The 16,249-nt window shown below is 42.0% G+C and overlaps 1 protein-coding gene and 1 long non-coding RNA gene across 4 annotated transcripts in view; one reads left to right on the plus strand and one right to left on the minus strand.

Annotated features, from left to right (window-relative positions):
- Positions 1-16,249, minus strand: part of LOC100287944 (uncharacterized) — a 278,422-nt gene that overhangs the window by 237,630 nt on the left and 24,543 nt on the right. The gene's annotated exons all lie outside the window — the stretch shown is intronic.
- Positions 1-16,249, plus strand: part of RFX4 (regulatory factor X4) — a 179,800-nt gene that overhangs the window by 151,036 nt on the left and 12,515 nt on the right. For all 3 annotated transcript variants that reach the window (NM_213594.3, NM_001206691.2, NM_032491.6), the window contains one exon: positions 13,398-13,560. In NM_213594.3, the coding sequence (NP_998759.1) occupies positions 13,398-13,560 (163 nt within the window). The remainder of the gene's footprint in view (positions 1-13,397; positions 13,561-16,249) is intronic.

Below are 16,249 nucleotides of genomic sequence, written 5' to 3' on the forward strand. Positions count from 1 at the left end.
AAGATAGTATGCTTAATGAAAGAAGCCAGACACAGAAGGACAAATATATGATTCCATTTATATGAGGTACCTAGAATAGTCAAAGTCACAGACACAGTGAATGGAATGGTGAATGTCAGGGGCTGGAGGGAAGGGAAATGAGGAGTTAGTGTTTAATAGGTACAGAGGTTCAGTATAGGATGATGAAAAAGCTCTGGAGATGGATGGCGGTGATGGTTGCACAACATGGTGAATGTACTTAATGCCATTGAACTGTACACTTGAAAATGGTTTATACTGGGCGTGGTGGCTCATGCCTGTAATCCCAGCACTTTGGGAGGCCGAGGTGGGTGGATCACTTGAGGTCAGGAGTTTGAGACCAGCCTGGCCAACATGGTGAAACCCCATCTCTACTAAAAATACAAAAATTAGCCGGGCATGGTAGCACATGCCTGTAATCCCAGCTACTAAGGAGGCTGAGGCAGGAGACTCGCTTGAACCCAGGAGGTGGAGGTTGCAGTGAGCCAAGATCGCTCCACTGCACTCCAGCCTGGGCATCAGAGCAAGACTCCATCTCAAAAAAAAAAAAAGTTAATATGGATATATATTACCACAATTAAAAGTCACCCAAGCATCCGTGGAAGCCCAATTCCATGAAGGAGGAACAACAAACTTAAGAACAGAGAGAGTCTATATCCAAAGGAATGAAGTTAATAGGACAACCTGAAAAGTATTGTTAAGATGAGAACTAAAAAGAAATCAGCCAGGCATGGTGACTCACCCTGTAATCCCAACACTTTGGGAGGCCAAGGTGGAAGGATGTTTTGAAGCCAAGAGTTCGAGACCACTCTGGCCAATATATTGAGACCCCCATCTCTACACAAGCTTTTTAAAAAAGTTAGCTGGGCATGGTGGTGTGCACCTGTGGTGGAGGCTGAGATGGGAGGATCATTTGATCGTAGGAGTTCGAGGCTGCAGTGAGCTATGATCAGACCACTGCACTCCAGCCTGGGTGATAGCCTGTTTAAAAAAAAAAAAAAAAGAAGAAGAAGAAAGAAAGGAAAGAAAGAAGAAAAAGAAATCATACCCATGAGAGTCAAGATCTTCAAAAGGAAATATATAATTGTTGAAATAATAATTTCAATAGATAGGTTGAATATTAGAAAATTAGATTCAACTGAAAGAGATCAGTAAACCGAAAGACTGAGCTGAGGAGTTCTCTGATAATGTGGCAAAAAGAAATAGTAAGTATAAAAGTGATGTTAAGAAAAAGGACTGATAAACTCAGAAATTCTAATATTCATTTAATAAGTGTTCCAGAGAAAGAATAGAGAGAAAGTGAAGATGTAATAGCTGAGAGTTTTATAAAATGGAATAAAGACAAGGCTTTTTAGACCAAAAGCTCTCATTGAACATGTGCTGAATAAATGGAAAAAAAAATTACCTCTAAGCCCAATGAAGAAAATCAAAGATAAAAGAAATCTTACTAGTTTCCCCAAAGAAAATGTATATAACTTCCAAAGAAGAGAGAACCAGACTGATAGCAGACTTCTCATTTGCAACATTAGATTCAATACCTGAAACCATACTTTTGAAGTGTAAAGAAAAAAACTGCATTGAAAGCTTTGGATCTAGAATCCTATATATGTTTATTCATGTATATATGTACACACATGTATTTTTTTTTCCCCCGTGAGGACATTTTATGTGCCAAGTCCTGTGCTGGGTGCTATGGGAAATAAATAGATTAATATGCCAAGGCCTTGCTACCAAGAGGGAACACAAGGATAAAGAAAAGTACAGAGACAAGTGTTATGGAAGGAAGAATGTGGTATATGCAATAAGTGAGATATAAACTAATGCTATGAGGTTCCCAAGGAAGGAGAGATTCTATGTGGCTGGAAGTATCAGGGAAGACCTCACAAAGATTCCAGGCTTTATGGAGTGGAGGGCTTGGTCAGGCTATGATAATTAATTCATTACCTTTCCATCCAAACCTGCTCTACTACCCTCCTGTTACCCAGGCAACAAATACGGGAGTCAGCTTCAAATCTTTCCTCTCCCTCAACTCCTGTATTAGTTAGGGTAGGCTAAGCTGGTGTGACAAATAGATCCAAACACGGGTGGAGTTAACACAACAGAAATCTATTTCATGCTTGAAGACAGTACTGCTAGGGTATTCAGTCATAAAGGAGGCTCTCTGTAATGCAGTCATTTGGAAACACGTGCTCCTTCAATATTAAGCTCCCACATAGCCCAGGGCAGTATTTCCCAAACTGATCCACAGACCAGCAGTATCAGTATCTCTTGGAAACTTATTAGAAATGCTCTTATCTGGTCCTGCTGCAGACCCAATGAATCAGAAACTCTAGGAGCAGAGCCCAGGAATCTTGTTCAGCAAACTTCCAGGTGATTTTGATGCTCACTAGGTTAAGGACCACTGCCTGAGGGCTTTGTTAAGTCTGCAACCAGCTGGCAGAAATGGAAAAAGGGCACGGAGGATGAAAACCGACTCTCTTAAAAGCCCTGGCCTGAAGGTGGCACACGTCACTTCCACTTATATTCCATCAGCGAGGACTTAATCACATGGCCTCATGTAACAGCAAGACAGGCTGGGAAATGTAGAATAGCATGTACCCAGGCAGGGAAAGGGGAACAGCTTTGGGGGCAACAGCGGGCATTCTCCATCACACTTCCCAAGTCCAGTTGTTCTAATACTAATCTAGACTGATCTGTTCCTTCCCATCCCACTTGTGCCTCTGGTTCAGGCCACCCCCACCTCTCATGGACATCCACAGTGACTCTCAAGCTGGTACCCTGCCTCCAGACTCTACTCTGTCCTCTCACACTACTCACTAAGTCTCGTTTTCATGAAGCCTGTGCCTCCTCAAAGTGCTGGGGCAAAGAACCCACTGCCTCACTCTAAAAGCCTTAAAGAGCTCTCTTTCTCCTAATCACTTCTCACACTGTTCCTTCTTCTTGGGCTAGCCTCCTTCTACCCTCTGCCTGATAAAATCCTACTCACCTCCTTTGATGTTTCCCTCACCCTCCAAGTTAGAATCTTCCTCCAGACCCTCACAGCATGGACTTAATTATATCCTAATTCTATTTAGGACTGTTTCCAGAATAGACTCGGAACTAAAGTTTTTTTTTTTTTTTTTTTTTTTTTTTTTTTTTTTTTTTTGAGGACCAAATAAATAGGGTCAGATTGCTCCATTCAGGAGCATTTACTCATTTACTCACCTATCTATCCATTTCTCCAAAATATATTTCTCAGGTGGCTTCTATGTGCTAAACACTTTCGGATAGGTGGTGATATAATAGCAAACAATAGAAGTGTGGTCCCTGCCCCCTGGGAGTTTATGTTTAGAGGTTAAGGTTCTTGATGAGCAAACTGACAGTAACAATATAGTGTGAGGAGTGCTAGGTTGGAAGAAGGGTCAGAGTATCATGGGAGCATGAAGGAGAGGGGAGAAAAGGTATTCCAAGTAGAGGCAAGAGAGAGCATGTTATTTTTAGGAAACTTAAAAGTATATATCCCAGAGACTTTTGATTAATTCCTTCCCCAAAGTTTCCTCTCTCTATGGAACTACACCTACTTAGAGAAGGATTGAGCGGATGCTTAAGAAACTGGAAGGACTTGCTATCTTGTGTACTAGTCAATAAACTCAGTGGCCCTCTGTCAGGGACAGCTAAGGAAATTGGATTCTTCAAAGTATTGAAAAGCTGGGTTGTTGATAAATGGCATTAGATCAAGCTTTGATTTCACTTTGGGTACACAGCTAGAGAGCCCTCTTCTGTGGAAATTTAGATTTGAGATCGCCGTATTTGTTTATATAGATGCGCCTCAAACTGTATTTTGTTTTCTGCTTTGAGGAGGAAGAATGTGATCAGGCTCCCACCTCCCTCCCATTTTCTTTCCATAGTGGGTTGTTGTAGTTCCTGCTTAGAAGGCTCAGAAAAAGTACGTGTAGTGAAAAGAATGACTTTGTTCACTGAACATTAAAAGGGAAGAGAATTTAAGTACCATTCGCAGCTCTTCATGCAGCTCTCAGGAGTTCTTCAAAGATTGGGATTATTGGGCAACCATCCTGAGTCTCCTTTCTCCCTAAAGAAAGAGCCATTTACCCAAATAATCCTGCCCAAATATCCCTGTCATCACCAGGGAGACACACACGAGTCTGCTAGTGATAATATCCTAACTTCTGAAATAAACAGGGAAATTATACAAATAAAACAGTTCTGCATTATGAAGCAGAAACCATTTGGATGAAATGTTTCTCAAAGTGTAGCAACATTTCAAATAAGGAGACAGACTCAAAGGGAATAAGGGATGGGAGGGAAGAGTGTGAAAGAAAGATGTCTAGGATCTTCTCATAGTTCTCATCCAGCTAGTGAGTGTGCCTGGCTTTCTTTGAAGCAATGTGGAGGCCTCAAGTTATGGCAGGTGTGATAGACAAGGCCACAGGAATATCATAAATGGCTTCAGATATTTCTGTGCAATGTGTTCAAGAGCCATAAACGTAGCTTCTTAGAAATACAAATGTGAAACAGGTTCTCTTCAGATGATTTTAAGCTTTGAAGATTTTGGCACATTCCAGCTTTGTTCTCAGATATCTCCATGGGGCATTAAAAATGTCATCCTATATAAGACTATGTATGATATTTTTCTCAAGTACCACTTTTGAAATACTCCATTGCTAAATTAGACTGGATCTGGGCATGTAATGTGGGTCATGGTCTTGGAGAAAAGAAACCCAATTTCCTAACAACATGTATGATTATATAGGCATATTATATTATAAAGCACAAACTATTTACCCATGCTAGAAACCTAAATATTAGGAAATCTATTACGGTAGGCTTCTTAAATTTTCATTGAACAATAGTGTAAATTGTAAAACAATTATGTAAATCTTATAAAATGTATTTGCCATGTTTCTTTTTTTAAAAAAGTCAACTCAGCACATGGTTTTCATGCCCAGTTAATTTTTATTTCTATTTTAAAATTATCGCTTGACTTATATATCCCATCTACTTTCCAAAAAGTTTTGAAGTAGTTTATAATAAAAACAGAAAAATCAATTTCGTAAAAAGGACCAAAACCAGAAAGAAAGAAAGAAAGAAAGAAAGAAAAGGTGAGGAAAATTAAATGAAACAATGGTTAGCTTTAAAAATTTATTAAAATCTTATTAATATGTGAAATTTTATGTGACCCAGTTATTTTTTTGGGTTTCCAGCATATCGTTGATCAGACAATGTAAATATTACCAGGTTTGACTTGTTGAGAATCAAGGCCAGTCAAGTACCTGGGACTCTTTAACAAATAAATGTCCCACTTTGGATGGACACTTCTCCATTTTTCAGCTGTGAAAAAGGAACAGTATTATGTGTGCTCGGTGGCACAAAGCTAAAATTAATTCATTGCACATAACCTTTTGGCATCCTTCGATACAAGGACTAGGGAATACAAGGTAGTACAGATAATGAGTTATGACTCACTAGGAAAACAGTCACTCTGCTTATCTGTAGCTACGTCTAGTTCCATGTCCACATTTCTAAATATATTTTATTGACTGTACTTATTAATTGTTTTTTTAAATGGGGAAAGAAAGGGAAATGAAATAAATTTCAGGTACCTAAAATTAAACCTGATATATGGCCAATTTTGGTTGGGTTTACGGCAATGTCATGATAAGAGGCTGGTTAAAGGATTCCATTCCAACAGATTTCCACAAGGTAAGATCTAGCCTGTCTGTCCATTTTCTCCCCAAATTTGTAGGCTTGCTACGCTCCCTCATGACCTGGCAAAGTTGGCAAAGTTTAGAAACCTTAACTTTCTTTAAGGAAAACTGGCTCCTTTCCTCCTTGGGAGCATGGCAGGCAGTGCCAAACTGATCAGTCTATTTAACATGACATTGGGCTGCAATTCTTTAATGGCATCTAAAGCAAAACGTTAAGCTCCTACTCTGTCCCATCGGGCCACCGAAGGGTTCTAAAACCTCGTTTATGATGTCATTTTAAGTATTCCCTCCTTCAGCAATGACAATAAAAGTTAACTATTAAACTCATGTTTTCAACTTCCCACCATGGGTTCCCTGCAACACAAAACCAGCAAATTAAATCATTGAGATACTAGGATACTTAATGAAATAAAAGCGAATTCCTCATAAATGGCCCTAACTGTAGAACATCTGGCCTGCCCAGCTGCATTTTCTCTACATCAGTTGAGGATGTAACAAAGATAACCGACCCTTAGTCTTTCCAAATAACAAAAGCCTAGTTATTCTGAGGGCAGCTAAACCGAGTGGGATAGGATGGACACTTCAGCCCTGCCACAGAGTCTGCGATGACTCATTTACAGGACCTCAGAGTTGTCAGTGCTAGTGAATTCCTCCTTCTTTCGTCCCTGCTACTTCCTTTTCTTTAAAGGAATGGAATCACGAAAAATAAGCTGGGATTGAAAATAGATTGTTTAATTGACTCTTTTTTTTTGGATCACAAAATCAAATCTTAGCTTGCTGCTGGGACTTTAGGCTCCCTCATTCATTCATTTGTTCATTCATTCAACAAATATATATTTCGTGTCTAATTTGTACCAAATCCTGGGAGTACAGAAGTGAAAAAGAGTAATAGTCACTTCCCGCATGGTACTTACATTCTAGTGGTAAGAGTCAATACAGAAGTAAACTGCCAGGTAAAGGTGTAATTTCAAATGGTCAAAGTGCTATGTGTGAAAATAATAGTGTGCTATGAAAAAGTATAAAGTGGGGACGCATCTTAGTTGGTGGTCAGAGATGCCTCCCTGACAAGGTGACATTTATCTGAGACCTGAAGTTTTACAAGGAGCCAGCTACATAGAGGTTGCGGAGGGAAAAAGAACTTTCTATGCGACGGGGAAAAGCATGTGCACAGGCCTCAGGCAGCAAAGAGCTTGGCATAGTGGGAACTGACAAATGTGTATAATAAATAAGGAAGAGAGTGGCAGGAGAGGAAGTTGCAGAGATAGGCAGAGGCTAGATTATGCAGCAACATAAGAAGGAACTGATTCATTTGCTGCCCCGGTCAGTTCTGTCAATCAGATTTTGACCATGGAACTATTGGTAAAGTGTAACTCAAACAGATGAGGTTTCTAGCTTCAATAGGAGGTCTCTTTAGACACAGCTGTCTTAAGGATAGATAATAGCCAATGACGGAGGTTGCAGTGAGCCAAGATCACGCCACTGGCACTCCAGCCTGCATGACAGAGTGAGACTCTGTCTCAAAAAACAAAAAAAAAGATGATAGCCAATGACATACCTAGAGATACAGGTAAATATCAATATATAGTCTTCTTTCCCTGTCTCAATCATGAAGATTACAGGAAATGCTTGTTTAGTAGCAAATCCTGTCAAGCAACATCGTCCAAATAGAACTTTCTGTGATGAGATGGAAATTTTTTCTATCTTAGCTATCCAAAACAGTAGCCATTAGCCACCTGTGGCTATTAAGCACTTCAAATGTGGCTAGTGGAATTAAGAAACTGAATTTTAAATTGTATTTAGTTTTAATTCATTTAAATTTCAATAGCCACGAGTGGCTATAGGATAGGGCAGAGCAGCTCTAGAATCTTGACACACTTAAAGGAGCTTACAAACAAAAGGCGTAGGTTAGGTTAAAACTTGAGCAATATCTGTGATGGTTCACAGAATCCTCCTAAGGAAAAGGTTAAAGCAGTGGTCTCCAACCTTTATGGCACCAGGGACCGGTTTTGTGGAAGACAATTTTTCTATAGACTGGGGAAGAGGTGGGGGGGATGGTTTCAGGATAAAACTGTTCCACCTCAGATCATCAGGCATAGACTCTCATAAGGAGTGTGCAACCTAGATCCCTTGCATGTGCAGTTCATAGGGTTCACACTCCTATGACAATCGAATGCTGCTTCTGATCTGATAGGAGGCAGAGCTCAGGCAGTAATGCTTGCTTGCCCACCACTCACCTCTTGTGCGGCCCAGTTCCTAACAGGCCACGGTCCGGTACTGGCCCTGGGGTTGGGGACCCCTGGGTTAAAGGATTCAGTCCAAGATCTGAAAAAAAAGGGTACAGCCAGGTAGCTTGGGAAGCACTCTAAATTTTCAGAAGTCTGTAGCAGAATCTCAAAGCTTCAGGTTTTTGTTGTTGTTGTTGTTGTTATTGTTGTTGTTTTTGAAACAGGGTCTCACTCTGTTGCCTAGCCTGGAGTGTAGTGGCGTGAGCACAGCTCACTGCAGCCTCCACCTCCTGAGCTCAAGTGATCCTCCCGCCTCAGCTTCCCAAGTAGCTGGGACTACAAGCACACACCACCACACCCAGCTTTTGTATTTTCTGTAGAAATGGGGTTTTACCATGTTGCCTAGGCTGGTCTCAAACTCCTGGGCTCAAGAAATCAGCCCACCTCAGCCTCCCAAAGTGCTGGGATTATAGGCATGCGACACTGCGCCTCGCCAGCTTCTGATTTTTAATGGCCCTTAACATACAGAATGTGTGACAGGAGGCAGTATGTTATAGAGCTTTGTTACTCAAAGTGTGGTTCACAGACCAACCACATTGTCATCATTTAGAAGTTTGATATAAGGGCCTCACTCCCAATCTACTGAATCAGAATCTGCATTTTTAACAAGATCTCCAGTGATTCAAATACACATTCAACTGTAAGAAACATTGCTATGGAAAGGGTTTGGGGTTGGGCAGACCTGCATTGAAATCCCAACTCTGCCACTTACCTGAGCAAGTCATTTAACCTCTTGGGCCTCAATTTTCTCACCTGAAAAAGGAGGTAATACTACTTACCTCAAAAGGTTGTTGTCAAGACTGAATGGGTCAATGTATAAAAGGAAATGAGCATGAGATATGGTTTATGTTGGATGATCATTAATTCATTTATTTGACAAATCATTACTGATTGTCTATTATATTCCGAGCACCCTTCCTGTCCTGTGCTTAAAACCCCTTCCAAAACAAAGCAACCTTGGGGAAGAAGAGTGTTTTGTTGGGGATGGGAGGGGAAGAAAATGTTCCCCTGTAGCAGTTTCAATACTGTAAGGTGACCAACAACTGCTCCTCTTGGGATCTTTATAGGATTCTCAACTATCAGGGGCTTCCACCGCTATCCTCAGACCTTTAAATAAATAGAAATGTGAGGAGGGGAGGGGGGAATAAGAGAAAAATATGGGAATTGAACAAATAGGGAAGATTTGCTATTGTTTTACCGACAAAAAGCATTAGAATTGTCTTAAAAACTAAGCACAAACTGTAAGCTGCGCAGATTTTCTTTTATTAGCTTCCTTAGAAAAGCAGCAGCAGCAATTCTCACTGGAGGTCTCACTGGTAGGAAAGGGAATTCAAGGGGTGTTCTTTTCTGCTCCCCAGGCAAAAAGGGTTTCTCACCCAAGCCAGTAGGTGTTAATCTGCTTAAGCCTGCCTGAGTGGATGTGTTAGATTGCTGGCACATGTCCATTTAGGGGTTTTGTTCCCCAGACCACAGGAGCCCATTTTTCCAAGAGTTCCACTAGCTTTTTGTTTGATAACGTCTATTTCTAGCAGCATTTACTCCTTCAACAACAAATTCAATGGAACGAAAATTTACTGAACACCTACTATTTGGCACACCCTCTGTTGGGGATACAGAGATGAATAAGGAACAGTTGCTGTGCTCCGGGGCTCACACAAAAGTAACTGCTGTTGCATTCTCTCAGGTGATGGCTATTATCATGACTTCTTCCCACTGCTTGGAAAAAAACATGCTTTGGTTTCCTTGGCTGCCCCGTTTCAATATCCATTGACCTCGCTGTGCTCGCCTGAGGTCCCAGAGGCTTCAAGGGTTAATTACTTGCTTGCTGTGGCTGGTTCATTGTTCTCCCAAACTTCTCACCCTTTCTGCTTCCATTTCCAACTCTAAACTTTGTTTAATGTATTAATGTTTTTCTTTTTACGGAGGCAATACACATTCTTTACAGAAAAATACAGATAAGTAAAATAAGGGAAAACACTGTAAAACTCTCCTCAATCCCACCACTCAATGATAACCCATTTTAATAAACATGACATTTTAAAAAACTGTAACAGTAATATAATTTCACATGAAGTTCAAAACATAGAGGAGGGCAATTATGCATAATCCAGTCATCTGAGTTGTGATCATTTTGGGGATCTTCCCTTCCCATTTTCTTGTACTTATAAATCAAGCCTAACATGTAGCCTGCTAAAGTCATTATCTTTTGGGGGAAGAATATGGAATAGATGTGCAAAGCAGGAAGGGGTACTTTCAGCTGTGCTGGTGAGTAAGGACACTAGTAATTTTATAGAAAAACATGTTTAGAAATTTGCCGTAATTGGCTAAATTACTGTTGCTATTCAAATGTTTCATCCCTGGTAATAGAATCTCACCCAAGAAACTTGCCTTTCTTCCCTGGGGTCTGAAATGAGAAATACAGAAATATCTATTTTAAGAAGTTCTCATGTAAGAATACCTGAATTCATAATGAAGAGTGTTTGCATACCATTAAAAGCCTACCACGTGCCAAACTCTCTGACATATATTACAACAGTCCTGCAAGATAGATATTATTACTCCTGTTTTAAAGATGATGAAACAGAAGCTCATAAAGTTTAACAGGCTTGCCCAAGATCTTATAGCTAGTACCTGGCAGAACCAGAACCCAGAGCAAAGAGACACAACGGTAGAGAGTAGAAAGTGTGTGGCACAAAGTGTGTGGGTTCACAGCCCGACTGAACCACCCACTCACTCTGGGACCTTGCGCAAGTTATTTAACATTCTAAGTTTCCTTGAACTGGACTTTTGTGTGATGCCATTAGCCTGCAGTTAGTGTTGACAAAAGGAACCGTCCTTAGAATCAAGATGAAGTCCATTGTAAGGGTGTTGAGGACATTGTTGAACAGTTCATAGTTAAAGATATTGCTGTTTGCTCTGAATTTGGAGGACAGTAAACTCCTGAGCGATCGTCAGTCTTAGTGCTCCTAACTATTCAGGCTTCCAGGAGCACTGGCTCCTGGAAAACTCATATCTAAGTTTAAAGTTCACATATAGGAAGAATTTGGGCGGCATGTTTCACCTCATTCTGAATTGCATTTTTTGCCTCCAATTCTGCTTTTCTTTCTTCTTTCATTCCCACTTCCATTTTATTGTCTCGAATCTTTTATATTGCTATACACTCCCTTAAATTCTTTTGGATTTAACCATCAGTTTCCTCATCTATAAATGGGGGATAACGTTCTTTTAAGGGTGTGTGACAAGCACTCAGCACAGTGCATGGTCTGTAAGAGATGCTCAATAATGGTGTCTCCTTTCATACTCTTAGAATAAATCTTTGTCACCTCATTACAACAAAGGACATTATTTGCATTCTAAAAGATTCTTCAATTTATGAAAGGGCTCACCAAAGGGTTCTTTTAACAATAAGCCAATGTATTTAAAATAGGACACCATTTCCACATTTCTTCAAGGGTATTCCTTACCGAGTCTCTGTCACATAACTGGCACAGCGCTGATCCACCAACTCTGCTTCCTCCCACTACTCCATATCAATGCAGCTCCTCTCATATGCTATTTGCAAAGTCCCTGGGATGGAATGGACTAATTTTTAAAATGAAAACCTTTCCTTTATCTTTCCAGAGGAATTTTTAGATAGAAATGGTCTGCTGCAGAAAATACAGAATGGGAGATCAAATTTTCTCTTTTACTTCACCTTAAAAATGTCCTCCCTTAAATTCTTTCATGTTTTCCATGTACCTAAAGGGGGATGTTGAATCCCATTACCTCTGCCTTCTAAAACAAGTTTAATTATTTCCACCATACTAACATATTTTAAAATTTATCAGAAATTAAGTTGTCTGATGAGTTTAGTATTGCTATTAATGATTTATCAAATTATCATTAAAAAAAATTCTAGCCCAGGAGCGGTGGCTCATGCCTCTAATCCTAGCACTTTGGAAGGCCGAGGTAGGAGGATCACTTGAGACCTGGAGTTCAAGACCAGCCTGGGGAACATAGTGAGACCCTGTGTCTATAAAAAATTTAAAGGCCAGGTGCGGTGGCTCACGCCTGTAATCCCAGTACTTTGGGAGGCAAAGGCGGGTGGGTCACAAGGTTAGGAGTTCGAGACCAGCCTGACCAACATGGTGAAACCCTGTCTCTACTAAAAATACAAATATTAGCCAGGCATGGTGGTGTGCACCTGTAATCCCAGCTACTCAGGAGGCTGAGGCCGGAGAATCACTCGAACCCAGGAGGTGGAGGTTGCAGTGAGCTGAGATTATGCCACTGCACTCCAGCCTAGGTGACAGAGTGAGACTCCATCTCAAAAAAAAAAAAAAAAAAAATTAAAAATTAGCTGGGCATGGTGGTACATACCTGTAGTTCCAACTACTTGGGAGGCTAAGGGGGAAGGATCCCTTGAGCCCGGGAGGTCAAGGCTGCAGTGAGGGCCATGATCATGTCATTGCACTCCAGCGTGGGTGACAGAGTGAGAGCTTGTCTCCAAACAAAAAAAAAACTAACCATCTCATAAAATATTAAGCATTTAATTTTGTCAGGTTTTTATCCCCCAGTCTTTAGCACTTTCAAGGTATCCAATTAAATTAAAAAATAGACAAAGGGAATTCATAATTTGTATGGAATAGGTCACTGTCCAGGTCACTGTCTAATAATCTTCAAAAAGACCTGAGCTGGCAGAGCCCAGTAATCTACTTATGTTTGCTTAAAGCAATTTGTTGGATCCTTAACACCTGTTGAGTTGAGCGCTGAAAAGTTAATTTGCAGTGCCTATCTGGGCTGTATTTCCCCAGGCTTTCCTTTTCCTTCTCGCCCTCCCTTCCTTTCTTCCTATCCTTCCCTTCCCTTTTCTCCCTTCTAAAATTTTTATTGAGTGTTTTGGCAGTCAGGATCTGTACTAAGCACTGGGAATCCATTGGTGGCCAAAATAGGCCAGGCCCCTACCCTCATGGTGCTTTCTGTCTAGTGAGGGGGCCATTAATCTAATCACATTCACTAATGGGTGTAGGATTACAAATTGCAGTAGGCACCACTTAGGCCTACAGTACAGTGAGGGATCTGGCCTAGTCTGGGGTTAGGAAGAGGACAGCTTTTTGGACTGTGAGAGGAAGAATGAGTGGGTAATAAGGCAGCAGAAACAGCACGTGCAAAGGCCCTGAGTTGCTGGGAATTGTGGTACTCTGGAGACAATGAAAGATACTGTGGCTGGACCAGACAAAACAAAGACAGGGGATGGGGGATGCCTCTGGTGAGCTCAGCAGAGTCAGAGATACATGTCTTATAAAGATTTTGGCCTTCAACTTAAGAACAAAGGGAAGCCACTAAAGTAAGGAAGAACAAGGGATATGAGAACTGTTAATGATCAAGACGTCTTAATTTGTCTCTGCAGGAGCAATGCAGTCTTACACGTGGTCTCTAACATACACAGTGACGACGGCTGCTGGGTCCCCAGCTGAGAACTCCCAACAGCTGCCCTGTATGAGGAACACTCATGTGCCTTCTTCCTCCGTCACACACAGGATACCAGTTTATCCCCACAGAGAGGAACATGGGTAGGTAACTTTCCAGGGATGCTGCTGGACTTTTAAAATTTGATCTAAAGAGGCTGGGCACAGCAGCTCACACCCTGTAATCCCAGCACTTTGGGAGGCCAAGGTGGGCCTTGAAGTCAGGAGTTCGAGACCAGCCTGGCCAACGTGGTGAAACCCTGTCTGTACTAAAAATACAAAAATTAGCCAGGCATAGTGGCTTACACCGATAATCCCTGCTACTTGGGAGGCTGAGGTGGGAGAATTGCTTGAACCTGAGAGGCAGAGGTTGCAGTGAGCTGAGATCGCACCGCTGAACTCCAGCCTGGGTGACAGAGCGAGACGCCGTCTTAAAAAAAAAAAAAAAAGAAAAAGAAAAAAGATCTAAAGAGGGGTTTCCTTAGCAGCTATTTTCTCAAAGAACAGGAAGGGTGCTACCCTTTGCTGAGTTCCCACAATATCCTGAGCACTGTATTGTGTAATCCCCACAACAACCAGGGTAGGTAGGTAGGTAAGAAGGTGTTAGTGACCCCATTTTAGATGAGGAAATTGAAACTTGTTTGGTTATCTTCCATTCCCCAAGGTCACACAGCTGGCACATGGTAGGGCCTAAACTGAGCAAATGTCTGACTCCAAAGCCTGTGTTCCTCCCTCTTTACTCCTTTAACGCCTCAGCTGAAAACCCCTTTCAGCAGTTCCCCTGGGTGGCTCTTTGTACACTTCGCAGAATTACAGAGCTTCATCTTAGGTTCAAGTCTTTTATGATTCCATTTAGAGAAGGGCTTCCCCACCTGAGGGCTGGAGGTCCCTTTAGGCTGCAGTTATTCATGAGGTTCAGGGGATTTCCCATAGGTTCTAGCGGTGTTTTATGCCCTGGAAAAATGCATCATTTGTTTTGCCCATATTTTTTTCTTTTTCAAATACGTGGAGTGATGTTGCTGTGATGAATGAACTACAAATCCATACAAAAGTGTTACTTGAATCCTCATAGCTCTTTGCCATTATGCACTGTCTTTATCAAAAGACACTAACCTTACAATGTCTAATGAGCAGTGATCTGAAAAGCACTTATGATATTAACAAGAGATCCTGACCGGGCACAGTGGCTCACACCTGTAATCCCAGCACTTTGGAAGGCCGAGGTGGGTGGATCACTTGTGGTCAGGAGTTCGAGACCAGCCTGGCTAACATGATGAAACCCCATCTCCCTACTAAAAATACAAAAATGGGCTGGGCGCAGTGGCTCACACCTGTAATCCCAGCACTTTGGGAGGCCAAGGCGGGGTGGATCACGAGGTCAGGAGATCGAAATCATCCTGGCGAACATGGTGAAACCCCGTCTCTACTAAAAATACAAAAATTAGCTAGACGTAGTGGCACGCGCCTGTAGTCCCAGCTACTCGTGAGGCTGCGGCAGGAGAATTGCTTGAACCCAGGAGGTGGAGGCTGCAGTGAGCTGAGATTGTGCCACTGCACTCCAGCCTGGCGACAGAGGGAGACTTCATCTCAAAAAAAAAAAAAAAGAAAAGAAAAATTAGCTGGGCATGGTGGGTGCCTGTAGCCCCAGCTACTCAGGAGACTGAGGCAGGAGAATTGCATGAACCCAGGAGGCGGAGGTTGCAGTAAGCTGAGATCGCGCCACTGCATTCCAGCCTGGAGAATAGAGCGATATACTCCAACTCAAAAAAAAAAAAAAAAAAAAGAGAGCTCCTACCATGTGGTGCAGTGGGCCTCACCACTCACAGGCCAGGTTCCAACAGACCAGTTGTGGGGGACATGGGAGGAGGAGGGGGAGGATTTCTCAGGTCCCTTCCACAGTTGGCCCAGCATAATGCAGCACGGCGGTGACCTGACAGTGGGCACAGGCCTGGATGTTGGTGTACTTTTCCATAGGTTCAAGTGCCCCTGAGCAGTCAATCGGGCAACCATTATTTTCTCAGGGGGCCTTTGAGAGTATTTCCACACATTTAGAATAGACTCTGAAAACTCTGTTTCAGAGAGATTTTTGATTCAGCAGAAATAGCAGAAAAAATACTCACATGGTCATAGGTCAGCATCTTTACCATAAATATTTTACTAAGAAGAACAGTGATAATAATAGGCTATGTCTACACAGGACTTTCTGGTTTATGGAGTGTGTTCACACATACGATCCTCAGAATGACCGTGCGCAGCATTTTTATGGATGTGAGAAACAGGGTCATGAAAGTCACACAGCTAGAAAGTCGTGGAGCCTGATTTAGAACCAGGGTCTTTGATGCCTGTTTGAACACGCCATGGTGCTCTCCCCCCAGGAGACAGCTTACAGAAACCCACTACATCCTTCCCCATGATGTGGAAGCAGAGGCCTGAGTGATACAAAAACATAAATCTCACAGTGGTTTGTTTTTTGTTATCCCTATTTGATTTCAGGATACAACAGGGGTTTTAAACACAGCAGGAGTAGAGGTTTCCATCACTAATGATGTTTGGCTCAGGGCTAGATTTCATCCCTGAACGCTGGCTGGGGGGTAAGGGAGGTATCTTCTAGGTGTTGAGGGAGAAGGAAAATCAACCTGGGGTTTTAAGTTAACCATAACAAGGCCACAAGAGTGGAAATGGTAAGAATCAAAAAGAAGAGGCCGGACACGGTAGCTCATGCCTGTAATCCCAGCATTTGGGGAGGCCAAGGTGGGTGGATCACCTGATGTCAGGAATTTGAGACCAGCCTGGC

The sequence above is a fragment of the Homo sapiens genome, chromosome 12, assembly GCF_000001405.40.
Source record: "Homo sapiens chromosome 12, GRCh38.p14 Primary Assembly".
NCBI classification, from domain to species: domain Eukaryota; kingdom Metazoa; phylum Chordata; class Mammalia; order Primates; family Hominidae; genus Homo; species Homo sapiens.